Source organism: Homo sapiens, chromosome 7, assembly GCF_000001405.40.
Source record: "Homo sapiens chromosome 7, GRCh38.p14 Primary Assembly".
Classification (NCBI taxonomy): domain Eukaryota; kingdom Metazoa; phylum Chordata; class Mammalia; order Primates; family Hominidae; genus Homo; species Homo sapiens.
Window position 1 is genome coordinate 100,586,215 of NC_000007.14, and position 22,579 is coordinate 100,608,793.

Sequence of the window (22,579 nt, forward strand, 5' to 3'; positions counted from 1 at the left end):
CGGACGGACCAATCGTGGCCCCGAGACGCGTCAGAAGCGGCCAATCAGAACCCGTCAGTGGGGGTGGAGCTCCGGCGCCGGAGTCTGACGAGAGAAGGGAGGGGAACAAGGATAGAGCGCTCGCCAACGGCCGACGCTCCAGGCCGTCCCGCCCAGCGCAGCTGCACCCAATCACAATGCTCAGATCGGGAGGTGGAGCCAATCAGGTCCAACCAAGAGGAGGGGACACCGGCACTCCACTAGCAGGAAAACGGGCCGAGGGACCGCAAGCAGGGGGTGCCTAGTCCTCGTCCCCCAAAGACCAATCGTAAGCCAGATACAGGCGAGTGACTGTCAAGAAGGCCAATTAGAGCCTCCGAAGGGAATCTGGACCTGCCTCTTCTCTGAGGGACGGCTCTACCTACCAATAGCATGGGCGAGAAGGCGGTCCCTTTGCTAAGGAGGAGGCGGGTGAGCTAGAACTTTAAGACTGAGGTTAAGAATGAACGCGGAGCCCCTGGCCGGCCGGGAACGCAGTTCGCCGCTGCAGTGGCGAGTGCGAGCTGGACGTGTTAGGGGGCTAGCCGGCGTCCAGGGCTTGAGGGGATTCGGGCGACTGCTTGAGGCCAGTGCACTGGCGGTTGTCGCAGCTGAAGGGGCAGCGGGGGGACCTCCGACTGTGAAGCCTCTGGCAGGGGTCTCGGGACCCCCGGGCTGGGGGCGGGCGGGGGGCTTCCCAGAGCCTGGAGATGCCCAGCTCGAGGAGGGAGGGTGTAGGTGCAGCGTTGCACGGTCTGCCGTCTCACCCGAGGAGCTCCCCTGGACAGGAATGGAGAGGGGACCAGACCACGGGGTTTTAGAGGCTTAGAAAGGATCTCACCGCCTAGAACACGCCCTTGGTGCTACGAATGCAGAAACTGAGGCAGAGGGAAGTTGATGCGTTAGCAAGAGCGAACAGCAAGTTCCTGACAGCTGGCTTGCTCTAGAAACCAGGTCTCTGGATCCTCCACGCACAGCCCTTTCCCGCTCCCTCAGTTTTCACAGTGGATGTTTTCACTCCCTTCCTCTCTTCCTCCCTCCCTCCCTCTCCCTTCCGTTCCCTTCCTCTTTTTATTTTTTTATTTTTTGAGATGGAGTCTCGCTCAGTCGCCCAGGCTGGAGTGCAGTGGCGCGATCTCGGCTCACAGCAACCTCCACTGTCCGGGTTCAAGCAATTCTCCTGCCTCAGCCTCCCGAGTAGCTGGGACTACAGGCGCCCGCCACCACACCCGGCTAATTTTTTGTATTTTAGTAGAGACGGGGTTTCACCGTGTTGCCCAGGCTGGTCGCAAACTCAGGAGCTCAGGCAATATGCCCTCCTCGGCCTCCCAAAGTGCTGGCATTACAGGCGTGAGCCACCGCGCCCGGCCTTTTTTTTTTTTTTTTTAAGAAGGTCTGATTCTGTCGCCCAGGCTGGAGTGCAGTGGTGCAGTCATGGCTCACTGCAGCCTTGAATGCCTGGGCTCAAGTGATCCTCCTGCCTCAGCCTCCCAAGTAGCTGGGACCACGGGCGGCACCACTGCACCTGGCTAATTTATTTTCAATTTTTGTAGAGATGGGGTTTTGCTATGTTGCCCAGGCTGGTCTCAAACTTTTGACCTCAAGCGATCCTGCCTCTGCCTCCCAAAGTACTGGGATCACAGGCGTGAGCCACCGCACCCGGCCCACAGTGGACTTTTTCTTTCTTTTGAGACAGAGTCGCTCTGTTGCCCAGGCTGGAGTGCAGTGGCTTGATCGCAGCTCACTGCAGCCTCAACCTCCCACCTCAGCCTCCCGAGTAACTGGGACTACAAGCACGCACCACCATGCCAGCTAATTGTATTTTTTGTAGAGACAGGGTCCTACTATGTTGCCCAGGCTGATCTCAAACTCCTGGGCTCAAGCAATGCTCCCACCTCGGCCTCCCGAAGTGCTGGGATTATAAGCGTGAGCCACAAAGCCTGGCCCACAGTGGACTTTTTCTATTCACAACCTCTCGTTTGCCTCCTGGGGTGAAATGGAGTGGATAAAGGGGACCCAAATGCAAGAGGAATGGAAAATACCTTTCTGTCTACTTGGAGATCTTCCTTTCTAAGTGGCATGAGTCCCTAATGCAGTCCCCTCCCTATGTGGTAGGTTGCCCAGAAATAAGTCACTGAAGTTGCTTTCTCCTTAGTTCACATCTCAGAGGTTGATATTCCTGAGTAGTTGCTGAAGAATTAAAATTCCATCTCAGGCATCCCAGCCTAGCCATGGCTAGGCACCATACATAAGGGAATTTGGGTGGTCAGTCTGGTGCAGTCAATGAACGGATCTGTGACACTGTGTGGTGAGGGCTGGTGGTCTGGCAGGATGGGACTCCTTTGAGCCCCTGCAAGAGCCAGCCACTCCTTGGATTTATTGGTGTAGATCTGGCCTGAGTGGGACAGACACAACCCTGACCCCTGCTGTTTCTCCTGATAAATGTCACCCCACATAAGACAAAGCTAATATCAGAGACCCTGGGAGAAATCCTAAGCTTTCAGAGGAAATCCATCCCTTTCTCCCACCTTAATAGGTTGTCCTTTATACATGCAATGATGTTACTGTCCCTCAGGAAAGCAAAAGCAGTCTTCTTTTTTGTTTGTTTTTTTTGAAACTGGGTATCATTCTCGCCCGGGCTGGAGTGCAGTGGCACGATCATAGCTCACTGCTGCCTCAAACTGGGCTCAAGCAATCCTCCTGCCTCAGCCTCCTGTGTAGCTGGGACTACAGGGGTGCATCACCACGCCTGGGTAATTTTTAAGTTTTTTTTTTTTTTTAATAGACGCAGGGTCTATGTTGACCAGGCTGGTCTTGAAACCCATGGCCTCAAGCCATCCTTGCACCATGGCCACCCAAAAGTGCTGGGATTTCGGGCGTTAGCCACCGGCACCAGGCTGCAGTCTCCTTTTGGATGTGTTTTTTCACAAGTCTAAAGAGTTTGCTGAATCATTTGTGAGCTAAACGATTATTAGCACAGTCACCTCTCCATCTCACCTGTCAAACTGAGTTTATAGTTTTTTGAGTCTATACTCTTGAGCTACCAATCCCTAGAGGCCTTGGCCTGCTGAAATGTGAGGAATTCACTAGTGTTTCTCTACAGAGTTAGTGCTAAAAGGGCCTCAAATAGGAAAACTTCCTCCTGCTCCCTGAAATAAAGATGTCACCTACCAGTAATTCACACTTTATTTCTCCAGTAAAATGCATATCCCTTGAGCCATGTGATGGCTAGAACTGAGCTAGAACCCAGGAGCTGTCTAAGAGATGGGTCCTGGGCAAGATTAAAGGGAACAGGTCACAGTGGCCAAACAGTGAGGTCACAGAGAGGTTTGTTAGCCCCAGACTCCATGGGGGAGGGGCCTAGGAGGCAGAGGGGCCTCAGAGGTCCCCCAAGCCTAGGCTGGGGACATGGTGTGGGAAAGCCAGCAGGAACGGGGGGGCCAAGGGCCTAGGAGACAGGAGGGCAGGAGCAGGGAGGGGGCAATCAGGATGGTCAGGGGAAGCCAGAGACGGAAGCTGCAAAAATTCACCAGGCTGTGTGGACGGGAGGAGGGGCTCCGGGTGAGGGGGATTGGCCGCAGGAGATCGGGAGGAGTTATTTGGAGAAGTTAGGGATGGGTCTGGAGAGAGAGGGGAGGAAATAACTGTGCCCAGCTAGAGTCAGATGAGCCCCAAGGTAGGCGGAGAGAAGGGAAAAAAGGATGTGGGACCCTCATGGGACCCTATGCACCCCTTCTTGGGTAGGTGAAGAGAAGCTGCCCTTCTTGTGGCTCGGAGCTTGGGGTTGAAGAGAAGAGGGGGAAAGGAAATCCGATTTCCATCCAGTTGTTCCCCCCAGAGCTGGTGAGTCCTTGGGGAGGGGGATTGAGAATAATAGGATTGGGGGCCAGATCACCGAGGGGCCACCAAAGACTCCCCGCTTCTTCCCTCCTCCCTCCCAGGTGGAGCATATCATCTCATTCCTCCCAGTCAGAGACCTTGTTGCCCTCGGCCAGACCTGCCGCTACTTCCACGAAGTGTGCGATGGGGAAGGCGTGTGGAGACGCATCTGTCGCAGACTCAGTCCGCGCCTCCAAGATCAGGGTTCTGGAGTCCGGCCCTGGAAGAGAGCTGCCATTCTGAACTGTACACCTTCCCCAGAACCTCCCGTTCTCCTTGCCTCTGTCCCGCCTTAGCCTTCCTGCTCTCTAAAGTCCCCTGATGACCCCCACACTCCCAACAGTGCTTCCAGGGCCCCTTTCTCCGGAAGAAACGGGTCCAGTTCAAACATTCTCCCTTGAGTACTTCCTCCAAGTCTTCGGAATCCACCCACAGCCCCCGTTAGCGGCCTCCCTGCCAAGTCTCCCTCTGTACACAGACACTTCCCGCTTTTTCCCTAGAGGCATCCCTCACTCCCCAAACCTGGAGTTTTCCCTCCTCTAACCCAAGGCTTCTGAACTCACTGTTGATATTCTGGGCAAAATAATTCCTTGATGTGGGGAGCTGTCCTCTGCATGGTGGGATGTTTAAGCAGCAACCCTGGCCTCCACCCACCAGATGGCCAGCAGCATCCCCCTTAATTGTGACAACCAATGCCCTTGAAGGACAAAATCACCCCTAGCCTGAGAACCATGCCATAAACCCTCTTCCCCTCCAGGGATCCCCCAGGGTGTACTTCTTACACTCACTGGGAGATTAAAAGAGAAGGGGGACCCAGAAAACAGATCCAAAGCTAGGGGTGAGGGAGGATGACCGGCCTTCATCAATCATTCCTTTTCACTCCTGTTTCTGTCTCTTCTCTTTTCTTTCTTTTTCTTTGATTTTTTTTTTTTTTTTTTTTTTTTGAGACAGGGTCTTGCTCTGTCACCCAGGCTGGAGCACAGTGGTGCAATCTTGGCTCAATGCAACCTCCACCTCCCGGGTTCAAGTATTCTCGTGCCTCAGCCTCCTGAGTAGCTGGGATTACAGGCTCCCGCCACCACACCCGGATAATTTTTGTATTTTTAGTAGAGATGGGGTTTTGCCACGTTGCCCAGGCTGGTCTCAAACTCCTGGGCTCCCAAAGTGCTGGGATTACAGGCGTGCAAAAATTCACTGAGCTGTGAGGATGGGAGGAGGGGCTCAGGGTGAGGGGGGTGGATGCCGCACGCAGCCTCTGTGTCTTTATTCTTAGAGTTTTCCTCAACATCACTGATGCAAGGTTGCACCAAAGAACTGCTCACTAAGAAGCAAATGTTTGACCCTGGGCTGAGGTGGGGTGGAGACTAAAGTTCACATGTCGAGTATAATCTAAGCTTATTTTCCACATCTCCTTCATAAGGGGTCTGTTTGTTCCCCTGTCCTGGGGATGGGGAGGAACTACAAACCAGCGTGTCTAAGAAATCTACCCAAGCTCCAACTCATCTCCCTCGTGTCATCTCATCCCTTGAACCTTCCATCTCCTTCCTTCCTCCAGACACGAAGGGCCTGTATTTCCAGGCATTTGGAGGCCGCCGCCGATGTCTCAGCAAGAGCGTGGCCCCCTTGCTAGCCCACGGCTACCGCCGCTTCTTGCCCACCAAGGATCACGTCTTCATTCTTGACTACGTGGGGACCCTCTTCTTCCTCAAAAATGCCCTGGTCTCCACCCTCGGCCAGATGCAGTGGAAGCGGGCCTGTCGCTATGTTGTGTTGTGTCGTGGAGCCAAGGATGTGAGTAGCAGAACCCTGGCAGCTGAGAGCCCACCTGTATTAGTCCATTTTCACACTGCTATAAAGACGTACCAGAGGCCGGGTGCAGTGGCTTACACCTGTAATCCTAGCACTTTGGGAGGCTGAGGCAGGCGGATCAGCTGAGACCAGGAGTTCGAGACCAGCCTGGCCAAATGGCGAAACCCGTCTCTACTAAAAATACAAAAATTAGCTGGGTGTGGTGGTGGGTGCCTATAATTCCAGCTACTTGGGAGGCTGAGGCAGGAGAATTGCTTGAACTTGGGAGGCAGAGGCTGCAGTGAGCTGAGATCGCACCCTTGCACTCCAGCCTGGGCAACAAGAGGGAGACTCCGTCTCGAAAAAAAAAGACATACCTGAGACCGGGTAATTTATAAGGCAAAGAGGTTTAATTGACTCATAGTTCCACATGACTGGGGAGGCCTCAGGAAACTTACAATCATGGCAGAAGGGAAAGAGGCACGTCTTACATGGCAGCAGGCGAGAGCACACAAGCAAGAGCAGGGAAAACTGCCTTATAAATCCGTCAGACCTCGTGAGAACCCACTATCACGAAAACAACATGGGGGAAATTGCCCCCGTGAGCCAATCACCTCCCACTGGGTATTACAATTCGAGATGAGATTTGGGTGGGGGCACAGAGCCTAACCATATCACCACCTCTCTTTTGAGGACCCAGGCCCCCATCAGTCTTGAGGTGTCTTTCCTATGACTTCTGCCCTCCCACATAGGAACCTGAAATCAAGGGCTCATTTCCCAACTCTGGACCCAAGCATTTCACTTCCCACCCCAGGATCCAGCTGCCCCAGCCCCATCCCATTTTGAAACTCTAGATCCCAGACGCCCTCATCTTTTCCCCCAGTTTGCCTCGGACCCAAGGTGTGACACAGTTTACCGTAAATACCTCTACGTCTTGGCCACTCGGGAGCCGCAGGAAGTGGTGGGTACCACCAGCAGCCGGGCCTGTGACTGTGTTGAGGTCTATCTGCAGTCTAGTGGGCAGCGGGTCTTCAAGATGACATTCCACCACTCAATGACCTTCAAGCAGATCGTGCTGGTTGGTCAGGAGACCCAGCGGGCTCTACTGCTCCTCACAGGTGTGGCCCAAAGCAATGGCTTTTGCAAACTGTTTCCTGCAGATTCCTCAGACCCTGCTGCAGAGGAGGGGGAGGGAGGCCCCTCAGACTGGGTTCCATATGCCACCTTATCCTAGTCTCCATCTAAACAGCTCTGCCCTTCTCTGTCTCCTAGTCTAGGATTCTGCTTAATATTTTATATGAATAAAAGGCCCTGTCCAGGTGTGGTGGCTCACACCTGTAACCCCAGCACTTTGGGAGGCCGAGGTGAGCAGATCACCTGAGATCTGGAGTTTGAGACCAGCCTGGCCAACATGGCGAAACCCCATCTCTACTAAAAAATACAAAAATTAGGTCGGGTGCGGCGGCTCACACCTGTAATCCCAGTTTTTGGGAGGCCAAGGCGGGTGGATCACGAGGTCAAGAGATCGAGACCAACATGGTGAAACCCTGCCTGACTCTACTAAAAAAAAATACAAAAATTAGCCAAGCGTGGTGGCGCGTGCCTGTAGTCTAAGCTACCTGGGAGGCTGAGGCAGGAGAATCCCTTGAACCCAGGAGGCAGAGGTTGCAGTGAGCCGAGATCACGCCACTGCACTCCAGCCTGGTGACAGAGCGAGACTCCGTCTCAAAAAAAAAAAAAAAAAAAAATTAGCCGGACGTGGTGGCATGGACCTGTAGTCCCAGCTACTTGGGAGCCTGAGGCAGGAGAATCGCTTGAACCCAGGAGGTGGAGGTTTCAGTGAGCCGAGATTATGCCACTGCACTCCAGCCTGGGTGACAGAGTGAGACTCCATCTCCAAAAAAAAAAAAAAAAAAAAAAATCAGATGTCCCCAGCTTCCATGCCAACCACCTCACTATACTCCAAACTGCTCCCTACTTTCCCAATGTCCTTTATACTCAACCACATCCCCAGGCCTGAGACCCTTTAGGCTTTTTCTTAAAATATTTTTTTCTTTTTTGGAGCAAGGTAGAGATGGGGTCTTGCTATGTTGCCCAGGCTGGTCTCGAACTCCCTGCCTCAAGTGATCCTCCTGCCTTGGCCTCCCAAAGTGCTGGGATTACAGGTGTGAGCCACCACACTTGACCACCTCTAAACTTCTGAATGCCAGGCAGGGCCCTCAATCCCCAGACCTCTCACTCAAATCGGATTCTAACAAATCTGCTAGATTTTTCTCTCTGCTCATCTCTCATGCTGAAGTACTTCCCTGATTTATGGTGGGAACTGGAGTCTGGGGGACTTGGGGTCACTCTTCCCTTATTTCTTTCTCAGCCCCACTCTAGGGCAGTAAATGTGTCACCCATATGGCCTAGGGAGTCTCTTGGGATGTTTATGTGGATATTGGAGAATCCCCTCCCCAACTAATTGCTTCCCCTACCCCCAGAGGAAGGAAAGATCTACTCTTTGGTAGTGAATGAGACCCAGCTTGACCAGCCACGCTCCTACACGGTTCAGCTGGCCCTGAGGAAGGTGTCCCACTACCTGCCTCACCTGCGCGTGGCCTGCATGACTTCCAACCAGAGCAGCACCCTCTACGTCACAGGTATGGACCACCTCCCCCCGGCTCAAGCCCGCAGCCTTGGTTAGACCCTCTAAACATCAACACCCTTCACCCTTACTCCAGCTGCATGGTGAACCCCTGAGGGCATCCTAGTGAAAAGATGTGTTTAGGGCCGGCATGGTGACTCATGCCTGTAATCCCATCACTTTGGGAAACCGAGGCAGGTGAATCACCTGAGGTCAGGAGTTCAAGACCAGCCTGGCCAACATGGCGAAACCCCATCTCTACTAAAATACAAAAATTAGCTGGGTGTGATGGCAGGCGCCTGTAATCCCAGCTACACCAGAGGCCGAGACAGGAGAATCACTTGAACCAGGAGGTAGAGGTTGCAGTGAACTGAGATCGTGCCACTTCGCTCCAGCCTGGGTGACCGAGGGAGACTCGGTCTCAAAAGATGTGTTTTCAGTTCCCAGGCATCATAGTTGATGCATTCCTAGTGGGTATGAGACTCCTTGGATCTTGTAGCTTTCATCCCAGGTGGGGCCTTATCCCTAGGAAATGGGTGCCCAAAGCTGCTGAGCTGAGGGCTCCTGACCCCCCAGACCAGGGGGGAGTGTATTTTGAGGTGCATACCCCAGGGGTGTATCGCGATCTCTTTGGGACCCTTCAAGCCTTTGACCCCCTGGACCAGCAGATGCCGCTTGCTCTCTCACTGCCTGCCAAGGTAGGCTCCTGGAGGGACGGGGCAAACCAGAGGGGTGGCGCTGTAGGGATTGGAAGGTCTGAAGTATTATAGGAATCAGATTATTGATCCAGAGGGGCAGGGGATCCCCAGGGAGAGGTATGCCAAAAGAGATCAGCTGGGGGCTCGGTGCGGAGGGAGGCTGAGGAGGGAGTATCGCTTGAGCCCAGGAGCTCTAGACCAGCCTGGGCAACATAGTGAGATCCCATCTCTAAAATATATATATAGAAAGAGATCAGCTGGGGATGGCAGGTTAGTGGCTTGGAGACTCTGGAACTCAGAGTTCCTCTGGAGGGAATGGAATCCCTATCCCCTTTCTATCTTGCACGCTAGATCCTATTCTGTGCTCTTGGCTACAACCACCTTGGCCTGGTGGATGAATTTGGCCGAATCTTCATGCAAGGAAATAACAGATACGGGCAGCTAGGAACAGGGGACAAAATGGACCGAGGGGAACCCACACAGGTGAGACTATTTCCCAGCAACTCTCATCCCAACCCCTTTCCTCCAATTCCCTAACCCCCAGATCTGTCCACTTCTCCAGATTCCACAGAATCCAATTTCTGTTCCTTTGGGAAGTTAAGCCACTCAGTATGTAATGCCAGTGGTACTACCCCATGTCTTACCCAGGGTTGGCACTACGAGGTCCATTCTGTGCAGTGCACACTGTAAATGCAATAGGAATTTAGTGAAGGGGTAGGGTGGGTGACCTGGGCAGGCTAGAGACTTCTAGAAGAGGTAAGATGTGAGCAGGGGCCAGGTGCAGAGCCTCACGCCTGTAATCCCGACACTTTGGGAGGCCGAGGTGGACAGATCACTTGAGGTCAGGAGTTCTAGACCAGCCTGGGCAACATGGTGAAACCCCGTCTCTACCAAAAATATAAAAAATTAGCTGGCTGTGGTGGCACATGCCTGCAATCCCAGCTACTCAGGAGGTTGAGGCAGGAGATTCTCTTGAACCTGGGAGGCTGAGGTTGCAGTGAGCTGAGATCGTGCCACCCTACTCCAGCCTGGGCCACAGAGCGAGACTCCGTCTCAAAGAAAAAGAAAAAAGATGTGAGCAGGGCATCGTGGGTTACATAAGACTTAGGTAGGGATAGAGAAGGCATTCTGTGTGATGAGGAGGGGGATAGGCACGAAACTTGCACATACCTGGGACAGTGACAAGACGGGTCTCACTAAAGCACAGAAGGCATCTTGGGAATCACTGAGGTATGAGGTGGTACAGGTGGGCACAAGCTTAGAGAGGTGTAGATTTGGGGAAGAGTCACTGCAGGTTCTGGAATAGGAGAAGGCAACCCCCAAGAGGTGACTGAGAATGTGTCAGGAGCCTTGTGCAGAGGAGGCCAAGGAGGGGAGCCCGCCAGGAGGCTGTTGAGTGATGACAGCACTTGAGACAAGCGCCTGGTGCTGCAGCGAGAATGGGAAGGAATGGATACAGGAGCTATTTGGGAAGAAAATGAATAGGGCCTCAAAACTGATTAGATGTAGAAGAGAGGGGTATAAGACAGAGGTGGCTCTGGAAGAAAGATATCTCACACCTGTAATCCCAGCACTTTGGGAGACCAAGGTGGGTGGATCACGTGAGCCCAGGAGCATGAGATCAGCCTGGACAACATGGTGAAACCCTGTCTCTAGAAAAAATAAAAAATTAGCCAGGTGTGGTGGTGGGTGCTTTTAGTCCCAGCTACTCGGGAGTCTGAGGCACGAGAATTGCTTGAGCCTGGGAGGCAGAGGTTGCGGTGAGCCGAGATCGTGCCACAACATTCCAGCCTGGGCAACGGAGAGAGACTCTGTCTCAAAACAAAACAAAACAAAAACCACACTCAATTGGAAACGTCTAGCTGGCAATTAGATTCTACCTGGGAACATGGTTGAACAAACAGAAGTAGAGACTGAAAAGCAACTCTGAGAAGTAGGCCCTGTGGTAGACAGGGGATGAAGAGGTGCCTCTAAGACAGGCCGTGCACCCCTCTAACACTGTCCCAGAAGCCACATGAGAAGGAAGTTCCAAATGGGGTGGGTGGTAGGGTTAATTGATGGTGTGACAATGTAAGATACATTTACTACTGACATGGAAAAGATAGTCATGCCATATTTTTAGGTGAAAAAGACTTTTATGAAATGGTTTACATAGTACCATTTATTTTTATTTTTATTTTTATTTTATTTTCAAGATAGAGTCTTGCTCTGTCTCCCAGGCTGGAGTGCAATGGCGCGATCTCGGCTCACTGCAACCTCTGCCTCCCAGGTTCAAGTGATTCTCCTGCCTCAGCCTGCCAAGATGGGATTACAGCGCCCACCACCATGCCCGGCTAATTTTTGTATTTTTAGTAGAGACGGAGTTTTACCATGTTGGCCAGGCTGGTCTCAAACTCCTGACCTCAGGTGATCTGCACACCTTGGCCTCCCAAAGTGCTGGGATTACAGGTGTGAGCCACCGCACCCAGCCTCTTTTTATTTTTATTATTACTTTTTTGAGACATGGTCTCCACTGCTTCCCAAGCTGGAGTGCAGTGACACAATCGTAGCTTGCTGCAGCTTTCAACTCCAGGGCTCAAGAGATCCTCCCGCCTCAACCTCCCAAGCAGCTAGGACTACAGGAATGCGCCACTACGCCCAGATAAGTTTTTGTTTTTTTTGTTTTTTTTGTTTTTTTTTTTTTTAGAGACAGGGTCTTGCTATGTTGCCCAAGCTTATATTGAACTCATGGCTTTAAGCAATCCTCCCACCTCAGACTCCTAAAGTGCTGGGATTACAGGTGTGAGCCACCACACCTGGCCCCATCCCATTTTTTGTTTAAAAATACACAACTTGCCCATCATGGTGGCTGACATCTGTAATCCCAACTACTCAGGAGGCTGAGACAGGAGGATTGCTTGAGGCCAGGAGTTGAAGGCTGCAGTGAGCTGTGATCACCACTGCACTCCAGCCTGGGTGACACTGAGACCCTATCTCTAAAAAATAAAAAATATACAATTTATGTGTATTTGTTTGTTTAGCCAACAGTGAAGAATATCTAGCAAGATGTTAATAGTAGATGGTGGGATTTCCAATGATTTTAAAATTAATTTTTTGCTTGCCAATGTTTCATAATTTTTCTAGAATGACCATAAATTACTTATCAGTGTCTTCAGAATTAAAGCGCTAACAGGCTCAGGAGAATGAGGGGGCAGAAGACGCCCTGGGATTTAGCCACTGAGAGGCCAAGTGCCTCTAGAGAGAGCATGTCAGTAATGTAATAGAGAGAAAAGCGAGATCCCAGGGAGGTGCTGGATAGACTGGCTGTGGGAAGGAACAGTAATGTGGTCAGCCTCAGATTGGTCATGTAACCAACTCTGCTGCTTAAGAGAGAGAGGCAGGAAGCGGCAGGAAGCAAGTAGAAGCTTTTTTTTCAAAAACAGGGTGGCCATTTTGGAAAAGAATTATGTGATAAGTTGAAAATGCTAGGCTAAGCATTTCAACTAGCTCACACCTGTAATCCTAGCACTTTGGGAGGCCAAGGCAGGTGGATTGCCTGAGCCCAGGAGTTCGGGACCAGCCTGGGCAACATGGTGAAACCCCGTCTCTACTAAAATACAAAAGAAATTAGCCAGGTGTGGCGGTGTGCACCCATAGTCCCAGCTACTCGGGAGGCTGAGGAAGGAGAATTGCTTGAACTGGAGAGGCGGAGGTTGCAGTGAACTGAAATCGTGCCACTGCACTTCAGCTTGGGCAACAGAGCGAGACTCCGTCTCTACAAAAAAAAAAAAAATGCTAGAGGCTGAGGTGGGAGGCCCGGAGTTCGAGATCACCATGAGCAACATAGTGAGACACTATCTCTATAGAAAATTTAAAAATTTAAAATTTAAAAATTATAGGCACATGCCGGGTGTGGTGGCACATGCCTGTATTCCCAACTACTCAGGAGGCTGAGGCAGAAGAATGGCTTGAGCCCAGGAGGTCAAGGCTGCAGTGAGCTATGATTGCACCACTGCATTTCAGCCTGGGCAACAGAATGAGACCCCATCTCTAAAAAAAGAAAAGAGAAAATAAAAATGCTAGAGTGGAGGCTGGGCTCAGTGGTTCATGCCTGTAATCCCAGCACTTTGGGAGGCCAAGGCAGGCAGATCACCTGAGGTCAGGAGTTCGAGACCAGCCTGGTCAACATGGCAAAACCCCTTCTCTACTAAAAATACAAAAATTAGATGGGTGTGGTGGCAAGGACCTGTAGTCCTAGCTACTTGGGAGGCTGAGGTGGGAGAATCACTTGAACCCAGGAAGGCAGAGGTTGCAGTGAGCCGAGATCGCACTGCTGCACTCCAGCCTTCCGACTCTGTCTCAAACAAAAAAAAAAAAAAGAAAGAAAGAAAGAAAAGATAATACTAGAGCAGGAAGGGAGGGATAGTGGAAGGGAAAGTCCTTCCTCAGGGTGGTGTTGGGGTCTAACCTGGAATTGCACAAGAAGCAAGTCTCCCCGAGGCTGGCAGGCAGGATGAGAGGCTGGACTGGCATAGACGGGTGGGCTGAGAATGAGGGGTACACCACAGCAGGCCCTGGGCTCAGGCAAGGAGCTGATTTTCTGGGGGCATAGATGAGATACCAACAGAAGTGCAAGACCCTATGTGACCAGTTAGAGTATGGGGGCTGCAGGGGTCAGCAGGGCAGACCTGGGGCGTGGGACAGTGCTGGCTCCCATTTCCTCCTCCCCAGTTCATTCTGCCCCGAGCCTTCCAGTCAACCTTTTCCCACCCCAGCCCCCCCGTCCCTTGGTGCTCCCTGCTCAGGGACCCTGGCCGTGTGTCCCCAGGTTTGTTACCTGCAGCGGCCCATCACCCTGTGGTGCGGCCTCAACCACTCCCTGGTGCTGAGCCAGAGCTCAGAGTTCAGCAAGGAGCTGCTGGGCTGCGGCTGTGGGGCTGGGGGCCGCCTCCCAGGCTGGCCCAAGGGGAGTGCCTCCTTCGTCAAGCTCCAAGTCAAGGTCAGAGCGGGGTCAGGAGAGTGGGCACCCAGGGAGGATGAGAGCCATGAACCAGGAAGCCCACAGGCTGTAGCTGGGGCTCCTGCAGGGACCCAGGGGGTCCCATTTCCCTAGCACCACCCCACCTCCCTCCTCTGCCGCACACCACGCTCTCTGCTTTCTCCCTTAGCAGACTGTGCTGGCCTTGCCCAACCTCACACACCCCTGGGACTTAGCCGGCTCAGGGCTGGTGTGAGAGGGAAGAATGCAATAGGCAGATTAGCCCGGGCACCCTGGGAAACCCTGCAAGGAAAGCACCACTCAGCCATGCCCCCTTTCTCTCCTCCTCCAAGGTCCCTCTGTGTGCCTGTGCCCTCTGTGCCACCAGGGAGTGCCTATACATCCTGTCCAGCCACGACATTGAGCAGCACGCCCCCTATCGCCACCTGCCAGCCAGCAGGGTGGTGGGGACTCCTGAGCCCAGCCTGGGGGCCAGAGCACCCCAGGACCCCGGGGGGATGGCCCAGGCCTGCGAGGAGTACCTCAGCCAGATCCACAGTTGCCAAACGTTGCAGGACCGCACGGAGAAGATGAAGGAGATCGTAGGGTGGATGCCCCTGATGGCCGCACAGAAGGACTTCTTCTGGGAGGCCCTGGACATGCTGCAGAGGGCTGAAGGAGGCGGGGGTGGTGTAGGGCCCCCAGCCCCTGAGACCTAATCCCCCTCATGCTAGCCTAGTCCCTGGAGGAGGGAGTCCGGCCCCAGGCCAGGGACTAAGGAGCAATGACCATTGTGCACATGCGTGTGGGAAGGGGTTGCTAGGGGGTGGGGACGGCTAACCAGGGTAAGAATGTTCAGGGGGCTGCCCAGGAGGGGCCCCCAACCTGACTATCATGGACAAGAGATTTGATGGATAGAATAAAAGGCTGCAGCGAGGCCTGGTGTGGAAGCCTTGGGGGCTGGGAGGGACAGGGGCAGGGATGGGGTGGGTGGGTGCCCGGCTTGGTGGGTGCAGGAGGGCAGGAGCCCAGGCAGGGGCAGGCAGCACAAGCAGCTCCAGGTCTCAGGTGCAGCAGAGCTGATGCTGCCTGAACCCTTCACATTGTTGTCCACTCCCTGCTCCCAAGAGCACACCTGGTCGTTTGGACTGGGAAGTTCTGGCCCTACCTTCTGGAACAACTCTATGCACAGATGCTCTTGGCTACCCCACTGGGATCCCCTGCCCACTAGACTTGTCCCCATCCTGAGGCAGCCTGTTCCTCCTGACCCCCGAAAGCTTCCCACCCATCTCCCTTCGGCCTGAAGCCAGCCCCCCTCCTCTCTCCCTTCTGTTTACCTCCCAGGTTTGGGCTCTATTTTCTACTCCTTCCACCTCTTCCTGAGTAACAAGGACACTCCCTTCATCCACACCCCATGCCTCCTGCCTTGCTTCCTGTACCTTCAAGTAGTTGGAAGAGGTCATGGGTGAGAATTCCTTCTCCTTGGCCTAGTCTGGCCCAGGTCTGGAGAGAAGGCAATGGAGATGTGAAGTGGAGGCCAGGTGTGGTGGCTACGCCTATAATCCCAGCACTTTGGGAGTCCGAGGTGGGCGGATCACCTGAGGCTAGGAATTTGAGACCAGCCTGGACAGCATGCTGAAACCCTGCCTCTACTAAAAATACAAAAATTAGCCAGGTGTGGAGGCATGCACCTGCAGTCCCAGCTACTCGGGAGGCTAAGGCACAAGAATTGCTTGAACCCGGGAGGCGGAGGTTGCAGTGAGCAGAGATCGCGCCACTGCACTCCAGCCTGGGTCACAGAATGAGACTCTGTCTCAAAAAAAAAAAAAAAAAAAAAAAGAAATTGAAGTGGAAAATGAGCTGGCAGGGGTGGTCAGGCAGGGGGTGAGCAATGAGGGCTCCTGAGCTGAGGAAGCAGGGGCGGGGGGAGGATGGGGGCTAGGGAGTCCTCAGAAGTTCCCGGAGATACTCCCTCACTGGACAGAGTGGGGTTCCCGATGACGTTACTTGAGGCCTGGGAGACGGCCTCTGCCCCTCACTGCTCCTCCCCCTCCTAAGGTCAACATTTATGTGTCCTAGACCTAGAGAGGTCCCAGGACACGCCACTGTCCCGCCTTCCCCATTGCCCGCCCCACTGGCCAGTCCCCACGCCCACACACCCAAGGCTGCCCCATCTGGCGCTGATTATCCTGCTGCTGCCGCCACCGCTGCTGCTGCTCTGCAAAATTCAGCTGCTGCCTCTGTCTTGAGGACCCCAGCGCCTTTCCCCCGGGGCCATGCTGCCTGCAGCCACAGCCTCCCTCCTGGGGCCCCTCCTCACTGCCTGCGCCCTGCTGCCTTTTGCCCAGGGCCAGACCCCCAACTACACCAGGTAGGTCTCTTGGCATCTTCCAGACAGCTCCAGTGAACTTCAGACCCCCGATTCCTTTGGGGTTATGCCTGGAGATATTTTGGGTTCCCTTGCTGACACACCACTCCCCAGATTCCCCACCGCCTCACCCTTCTCTGGCCCCCAAATCCTCCCCATCTGCTGCAAGACCTTGGTCTCCTGCAGGCCACCACTGCTCCCATTCCCCCACCTTCGTCCTCTGGTCTCTTAAGTCTCCCCACCCACCCAGATCCTTGACCCCCCATAGAACCCAAGAGAGAGCCAAGCTCCTGAACTTGCCTGGTAGCTGGATTCCAGGAAGGAATTCGAGAGGGATTGTAGGGGGAGGAGGGGGCAGTGAGTGGAGACTTGGGAGTCAGAATCTGAAGTAGTTTGGAACAGGGGCAGGGCTAAGGTGTGGAGCTCGCGGAGCCTGGCCTCCAGGTTCAATCAGAGGGCCATCGCCACTGCAGCTCCCTCCATCTCTCCACCCCCTCCCCCCCACCGCCTCGTGGCTGTGTCCACATCTGGAAGTAGTTAGGCGGCTCCTGTCCCTGGACTGCCAGGCAGAGTGAGGCGGGAGTCTGGAAGGGGGGCCGAGGAGGATTCCGGGAATTCCTGTTGGGGTGGGGGTGGGGACTCTTGGGGTTGGAGGGATGGTCGAGTTGCCAGGCCCACTTTTCCCTTATCTTTGTGGGAGTCTGGGACACCCCAGCCCTGTCCTGGCTGGTGGAAGCTGCCCCAGGTCTCTCAAGGCCTTTCCATTTCATCCCCCAGCTTCCCTCCTTGGAGTTTCATCCTCATCACCTCATCCCCATCTTGCCAGTGCTCCCCCGTCCCACCCGTCCCTGCTCTTTCCTGACCCCTTTTCTGTTCTCCAGACCCGTGTTCCTGTGCGGAGGGGATGTGAAGGGGGAATCAGGTTACGTGGCAAGTGAGGGGTTCCCCAACCTCTACCCCCCTAATAAGGAGTGCATCTGGACCATAACGGTGAGAAACCCCTCTGGGCACTACCCCTTGTTAAAGTCTCAGAGGCAAAAAGGCCTGACTGCGAAGGGACCCCCCCCCCGTCCCCCCCGCACCACCTTCTCAACCTGGGGCAGCTCCAAGTGTCTTCCCTCTGTCACTGAAGGCATCATTCCCACCGTAACACGCATCATCTTAACCCTTCCCTCAAATCTTCATTCTCCAGTCCCCGGCCCTCCCTCCTCTTCCAAAGCCTCAGCTCTTGTCCCCTGCACAGGCTACCAGCAGAGCTGCAGAGACCAGGCCCTCTGCTCTGCACTCACATGGAGGCCCCTTCCCATTCAGTCCGTTTCTGCAAGAAACGCTTGGGGCAGGGGAGCTGCCCTCTGGCTGGGTTGTGTGGGGCCTGACTCTGTGGGTCCCCGCCTCTGTCCCCGCTATCAGGTCCCCGAGGGCCAGACTGTGTCCCTCTCATTCCGAGTCTTCGACCTGGAGCTGCACCCCGCCTGCCGCTACGATGCTCTGGAGGTCTTCGCTGGGTCTGGGACTTCCGGCCAGCGGCTCGGACGCTTTTGTGGGACCTTCCGGCCTGCGCCCCTAGTCGCCCCCGGCAACCAGGTGACCCTGAGGATGACGACGGATGAGGGCACAGGAGGACGAGGCTTCCTGCTCTGGTACAGCGGGCGGGCCACCTCGGGCACTGGTGAGAACTCCCTCACCTCCGCCTTCCCCCCCTCCAGGCCCCGCCCCGGCCGCAGCCCCGCCCCCAGCCCTAACCTCCGCCCCGCCCACCCCGCGCCCCAGTGCCTAGGGCCCCCTACCTCCCTGACCCATTTTCCTCACTAACCGCCCCTTCAGTCCCTCCTCCCCGTCTTCTCTCCCCTCCTCCCGCACCCACCCATCCCTCTTCCAGGGCCCCCCCCAGGCGCGAGGCGGAAATGGGTCACCGACCCGCGGGTGGAATGGGCGGCCTGGGGTTACTGGGACGGTGAGTAACTGCCGGCCCCCGTCCGCAATCGGGCTCCCTCCGTCGGGCGCGAGGGGGCACCCCAGGGCTGGGGGGACTAGGTTCCTCCAACCCCGGGGGGCCCCTACACCCAGCCCTGGGCTCCCGATTGCGGTCCCATCACCCCCTCCTGGCGGCAGAAGTCTCCCTTGCAATGTTTCAGGCGGGGACCTCCCTAAAGGGGTCCTCGGGGGCTGTGCCCCAAGTCGAGGACACCCTCTCCAGCCTGAAAGGGGACTCTGCTGCAGGGCCGGGGAGATGGGATCTCCTAGGGGAAGAGGCGCGGTGCGGCCGCGGGTCGGGGAGGGGCCAGAAGGGGGCGTCCAGCCAGTTCCTCCTCCCGCTTCCACCGCCCGCCAGTGCGCCCTGCGGCCCCAGACTTCCCCGAGCCGCGCTCCTCCCGGCCGCTCTCTGTTAACCTGCCCCCATCTTACCTCCCCTTCTTCTCGTCCCCTCATCCTGAGCCCCAGACATCCGAGCTGCCTGCCGGGGCTCCCAGCCTAGAGTTCTCCTGAAGCTGACCGAGGGTCTCCACCGCCCCCCACCCCCGCTCCTCTCTCCCCTCCCCAGAGCACCAATTTTGCGGGGGGCGGCTGGAGAAGGCCCAGGGAACCCTGACCACGCCCAACTGGCCCGAGTCCGATTACCCCCCGGGCATCAGCTGTTCCTGGCACATCATCGCGCCCCCGGACCAGGTACCGACCCTCCTCCCCGGGCTGCCCTAGGGGACCCAGGCGGCGCCCTCCAGCTTGCAGCCAGCAGAGATTTATTGAAGATCTGCTGTGTCCCGAGCACTGCGCTTGCGCTGGTGGGCACCCAAAACAGCCCCAACCCCTGCATGCACGCAAACAAAAATGTAAAAATTACAACTGAGACAAGTCTCAGGAGAGCGAGGTACAGGGTCCTGGTATAACACGCGGGCCTGTCACTTGTGAGTGCGCCAGGACTTGACCTTGCCAACCACGACGACCGACACCCCTGCAGGGTCCCATGGGTGTGTGTGGTCCTCCGTGCTGTGGTGTGAACGCCTTCAGGAGGGGGGCCCAGAGGACGCGGGAGGTGGGAGTGGGAGCTGCTGCAGGCACCCAGTAGGAGATGAGGTGCAGGCGCCCAGGGGTGTCCCGCCGCGCAGTCCCCGCCTCCGCCCGCCGCCAGGTCATCGCGCTGACCTTCGAGAAGTTTGACCTGGAGCCGGACACCTACTGCCGCTATGACTCGGTCAGCGTGTTCAACGGAGCCGTGAGCGACGACTCCCGGAGGCTGGGGAAGTTCTGCGGCGACGCAGTCCCGGGGTGAGGGGCGGGACCTGGGCGAGTCCGGGAGAGAGTCGGCGGACCGCACGCACGCGGCTGTTTGGAGGGGCGGGGTTCAGCTAAAGGGACGGGATCTGAACCCCAGGGCTCCAAACCGGCGAGGGGAGCAGGTTGGAGGCCAGGCAAAGAGGAGATTTGGCCCCGGGTCTGGGGTCCGCGGATAGAGAGGCGACTGGGGCTCTGCGAAGTTGGGACGAAGTTAAAAGGCCACCTGGCCAGGGGTAGTGGCTCATGCCTGTAATCATAGCACTTTGGGAGGCTGAAGCGGGAGGATCACCTGAGCTTAGGAATTCGAGACCAGCCTGGGCAACATGGCGCAACCTTGTCTGTACCAAAAATACAAAATAATTAGCTGGGCATGGTGGCGTGCCTGTAGTCCCAGCAACTTGCGGGGCTGAGGCAGGAGGATTACTTGAACCCAGAAGGTCAAGGCTGCAGTAAGCCTAGATGGAGCCACTGCACTCAAGCCTGGGAGACAAAGTGAGACCCTGTCTCAAACAAACAAAAAAGGTCATGGGGCTGAGAAGAGTGTGGTGCACGCCCGCCCTGACACTTCCCCCAATGCTCGGTGGCCACCTGCAGCTCCATCTCCTCCGAAGGGAATGAACTCCTCGTCCAGTTCGTCTCAGATCTCAGTGTCACCGCTGATGGCTTCTCAGCCTCCTACAAGACCCTGCCGCGGGGCACTGCCAAAGAAGGGCAAGGGCCCGGCCCCAAACGGGGAACTGAGCCTAAAGTCAAGCTGCCCCCCAAGTCCCAACCTCCGGAGAAAACAGAGGAATCTCCTTCAGCCCCTGGTGAGTCTGGGATAGGGGAGGAAGGGGAAACAGACTGAAGGGGGCCATTTCAAAAAGTTCTGACCTGGGCTGTGGCTCACACCTGTAATCCCAGCATTTTGGGAGGTCCAGACAGCAGGATCGCTTAAGCCTAGGAGTTTACCATAGCAAGACCCTGTCTTTTCAAAAATAAAAAATTAGGCTGGGCTGGTGGCTCACGCCTGTAATCCCAGCACTTTGGGAGGCCAAGGCAGGCAGATCACCTGAGGTCAGGAGTTCAAGACCACCCCGGCTAACATGGCAACACCACATCTCTACTAAAAATACAAAAATTAGCCAGGTGTGGTGGTACACACCTGTAATCCCAGCTACTCGGGAGGCTGAGGCAGGAGAGTCGCTTGAACCTGGGAGGTGGAGATTGTAGTGAGCCGAGATTGTGCCACTGCACTCCAACTTGGGTTACAGAGTGAGATTCTGTCTCAAAAAAAAAAAAAAAACTTAGCCAGGCGTGTGGTCATAGCTACTCCGGAGGCTGAGGTGGGAGGATTGCTTGAGCTGGGAAGGTCGAGGCTTCAGTGAGCCATGACTGTGCCGCTACACTCCAGCCTGGGCAACAGAGCAAAACTCCATCTTAAACAAACAAAAAAGTTCTTCCTTGGCTACATTCACTCATTGATTCATCTGGTACTCACTGGTGCCTCCTTCCTGCCGATGACCCCTACTGGGTGCTAGGACCGGAAGCCTGACAGAGCTCTGAACAGTTCAAGTCAATGAGGCTGTTATGGGGACAGTGCTCCCTCCTACCTGCTGAGCAGGTCACCCTCCACCCTCCTCCCTCCTAGATGCACCCACCTGCCCAAAGCAGTGCCGCCGGACAGGCACCTTGCAGAGCAACTTCTGTGCCAGCAGCCTTGGTAAGAATACCCCCAACCCCATTCCAGCTCCTCGAACCACCTCCTGCTTCTGTTTCCAGTCCTGCCATCTGGAACCTCCCATCTCCTCATCTCTCACTCCCATTCTCCCACAGTGGTGACTGCGACAGTGAAGTCCATGGTTCGGGAGCCAGGGGAGGGCCTTGCCGTGACTGTCAGTCTTATTGGTGCTTATAAAACTGGAGGACTGGACCTGCCTTCTCCACCCACTGGTGCCTCCCTGAAGTTTTACGTGCCTTGCAAGCAGTGCCCCCCCATGAAGAAAGGTAACAGAGATGTGGGGAAATGGGGATGGGTCAAGCTAAGCCACACAGAAATGATCAAGGTGTGGAATCTTGAGACCTGCTGACAGGTCTCAAGAATAAGAGATCTCAACCCCTCCCTCCTTCTTCCAGGAGTCAGTTATCTGCTGATGGGCCAGGTAGAAGAGAACAGAGGCCCCGTCCTTCCTCCAGAGAGCTTTGTGGTTCTCCACCGGCCCAACCAGGACCAGATCCTCACCAACCTAAGCAAGAGGAAGTGCCCCTCTCAACCTGTGCGGGCTGCTGCGTCCCAGGACTGAGACGCAGGCCAGCCCCGGCCCCTAGCCCTCAGGCCTTCTTTCTTATCCAAATAAATGTTTCTTAATGAGGAATGGGTCAGATCTCCATGCTTATGGTATTGGGGTCCATCTTGAGGATTTCTTTTCATTAATTAATTAACTCAACACATATTTACTATACAGAATAATCGTTTAAGAATGTGGCCAGGGGTGGCTGCTCACAGCTGTAATCCCAGCACTATGGGAGGCTGAGTCAGGAGGATTGCTGAGGCCAAGAGTTTAAGACCAGCCTGGGCAACATGGCAAAACCCCCTCTCCACAAAAAAAAATACAAAAATTAGCCAGGCGTGGTGGTGCACACCTGTAGTCCCAGCTACTCAGGTTGAGGTGTGAGGATCGCTTGATCCCGGGGAGGTAAGACTGCGGTGAGCTGTGACTATGCCACTGTACTCCACCTGGGGGAACACAGTGAGACCCTGTCTCAAAAAAAAAAAAAAGAATGTAAGTCACAGGCCAGGTGCAGTGGCTGATGCCTGTAATCCCAGCACTTTGAGAGGCTAAGGTGGGAGGATCACTTGAGGTCAGAAGTTTGAGATCAGTCTGGGCAACATGGCCAGATTCTGTCTTTACAAAAAATAATTAGCTGGGCATGGTGGTACTCATCTGTGGTCCCAGCTACTCAGGAGGCTGATGTGGGAGGCTTGCTTGAGC

At 55.1% G+C, this 22,579-nt stretch overlaps 2 protein-coding genes and 1 long non-coding RNA gene across 9 annotated transcripts, besides 7 other annotated features; 2 read left to right on the forward strand and 1 right to left on the reverse strand.

Moving 5' to 3' along the window:
* Window positions 114–14,903, forward strand: FBXO24 (F-box protein 24). 7 transcript variants are annotated; one of them, NM_033506.3, is made up of 10 exons: window positions 114–450; window positions 3,763–3,861; window positions 3,960–4,143; window positions 5,453–5,688; window positions 6,569–6,803; window positions 8,169–8,327; window positions 8,888–9,009; window positions 9,361–9,492; window positions 13,817–13,987; window positions 14,320–14,903. In NM_033506.3, exons 1-10 carry the CDS (start codon window positions 412–414, stop codon window positions 14,683–14,685), a joined length of 1,743 nt encoding a protein of 580 aa, NP_277041.1. In that variant the 5' UTR covers window positions 114–411; the 3' UTR covers window positions 14,686–14,903. The 7 variants fall into 7 exon arrangements, with proteins under 7 accessions (NP_277041.1, XP_047276138.1, XP_011514324.1 ...); XM_011516022.1 differs by lacking the exon at window positions 114–450 and adding an exon at window positions 472–535; NM_012172.5 differs by lacking the exon at window positions 114–450 and adding an exon at window positions 3,399–3,579.
* Window positions 673–792: a silencer, noted in NCBI's record as "silent region_18447". NCBI's record gives its function as "represses an Ori minimal core promoter by ATAC-STARR-seq in GM12878 lymphoblastoid cells {active_cell/tissue: GM12878}" and the evidence as "EXISTENCE:reporter gene assay evidence [ECO:0000049][PMID:35858748]".
* Window positions 3,187–17,824, reverse strand: PCOLCE-AS1 (PCOLCE antisense RNA 1). Its single transcript, NR_038910.1, has 9 exons — window positions 17,624–17,824; window positions 16,126–16,952; window positions 15,406–15,469; window positions 14,509–14,638; window positions 13,826–13,975; window positions 13,457–13,588; window positions 6,611–6,860; window positions 4,016–4,117; window positions 3,187–3,868 (listed from the first exon to the last, which is right to left on the reverse strand). It is a non-coding gene; the product is annotated as a PCOLCE antisense RNA 1 (long non-coding RNA).
* Window positions 3,744–4,544: an enhancer, noted in NCBI's record as "H3K4me1 hESC enhancer chr7:100187581-100188381 (GRCh37/hg19 assembly coordinates)". NCBI's record gives its function as "activates a minimal SCP1, AML or CMV promoter by ChIP-STARR-seq in naive H9 embryonic stem cells {active_cell/tissue: H9 hESC(naive)}" and the evidence as "EXISTENCE:reporter gene assay evidence [ECO:0000049][PMID:30033119]".
* PCOLCE (procollagen C-endopeptidase enhancer) lies at window positions 16,149–21,961 on the forward strand. The gene is made up of 9 exons (NM_002593.4): window positions 16,149–16,337; window positions 17,216–17,324; window positions 17,745–18,003; window positions 18,877–19,001; window positions 19,462–19,598; window positions 20,202–20,416; window positions 21,238–21,309; window positions 21,423–21,593; window positions 21,723–21,961. The coding sequence occupies exons 1-9, from the start codon at window positions 16,243–16,245 to the stop codon at window positions 21,887–21,889; spliced, it is 1,350 nt and encodes a 449-aa protein (NP_002584.2). The 5' UTR covers window positions 16,149–16,242; the 3' UTR covers window positions 21,890–21,961.
* Window positions 17,258–18,050: an enhancer, noted in NCBI's record as "H3K27ac-H3K4me1 hESC enhancer chr7:100201095-100201887 (GRCh37/hg19 assembly coordinates)". NCBI's record gives its function as "activates a minimal SCP1, AML or CMV promoter by ChIP-STARR-seq in primed H9 embryonic stem cells {active_cell/tissue: H9 hESC(primed)}" and the evidence as "EXISTENCE:reporter gene assay evidence [ECO:0000049][PMID:30033119]".
* Window positions 18,058–18,437: a silencer, noted in NCBI's record as "silent region_18448". NCBI's record gives its function as "represses an Ori minimal core promoter by ATAC-STARR-seq in GM12878 lymphoblastoid cells {active_cell/tissue: GM12878}" and the evidence as "EXISTENCE:reporter gene assay evidence [ECO:0000049][PMID:35858748]".
* Window positions 18,618–18,767: a silencer, noted in NCBI's record as "silent region_18449". NCBI's record gives its function as "represses an Ori minimal core promoter by ATAC-STARR-seq in GM12878 lymphoblastoid cells {active_cell/tissue: GM12878}" and the evidence as "EXISTENCE:reporter gene assay evidence [ECO:0000049][PMID:35858748]".
* Window positions 19,486–19,555: an enhancer, noted in NCBI's record as "active region_26375". NCBI's record gives its function as "activates an Ori minimal core promoter by ATAC-STARR-seq in GM12878 lymphoblastoid cells {active_cell/tissue: GM12878}" and the evidence as "EXISTENCE:reporter gene assay evidence [ECO:0000049][PMID:35858748]".
* Window positions 19,566–19,655: an enhancer, noted in NCBI's record as "active region_26376". NCBI's record gives its function as "activates an Ori minimal core promoter by ATAC-STARR-seq in GM12878 lymphoblastoid cells {active_cell/tissue: GM12878}" and the evidence as "EXISTENCE:reporter gene assay evidence [ECO:0000049][PMID:35858748]".
* Window positions 21,962–22,579: the final 618 nt, after the last annotated feature.

What these genes read in the sequence shown, in the direction of transcription:
- FBXO24 (NM_012172.5), top strand. Translation starts at nt 3,427, where the DNA reads ATGGTGTGGGAAAGCCAGCAGGAACGGGGGGGCCAAGGGCCTAGGAGA. An exon ending in GACGGGAGGAGGGGCTCCGG is followed by an intron (nt 3,580 to 3,762) that starts GTGAGGGGGATT and finishes CTTCTTGGGTAG; the next exon opens with GTGAAGAGAAGCTGCCCTTC. An exon ending in ACCGAGGGGAACCCACACAG is followed by an intron (nt 9,493 to 13,816) that starts GTGAGACTATTT and finishes GTGTGTCCCCAG; the next exon opens with GTTTGTTACCTGCAGCGGCC.
- PCOLCE (NM_002593.4), top strand. Translation starts at nt 16,243, where the DNA reads ATGCTGCCTGCAGCCACAGCCTCCCTCCTGGGGCCCCTCCTCACTGCC. An exon ending in TCATCGCGCCCCCGGACCAG is followed by an intron (nt 19,002 to 19,461) that starts GTACCGACCCTC and finishes GCCCGCCGCCAG; the next exon opens with GTCATCGCGCTGACCTTCGA. An exon ending in GTGCCCCCCCATGAAGAAAG is followed by an intron (nt 21,594 to 21,722) that starts GTAACAGAGATG and finishes TCCTTCTTCCAG; the next exon opens with GAGTCAGTTATCTGCTGATG.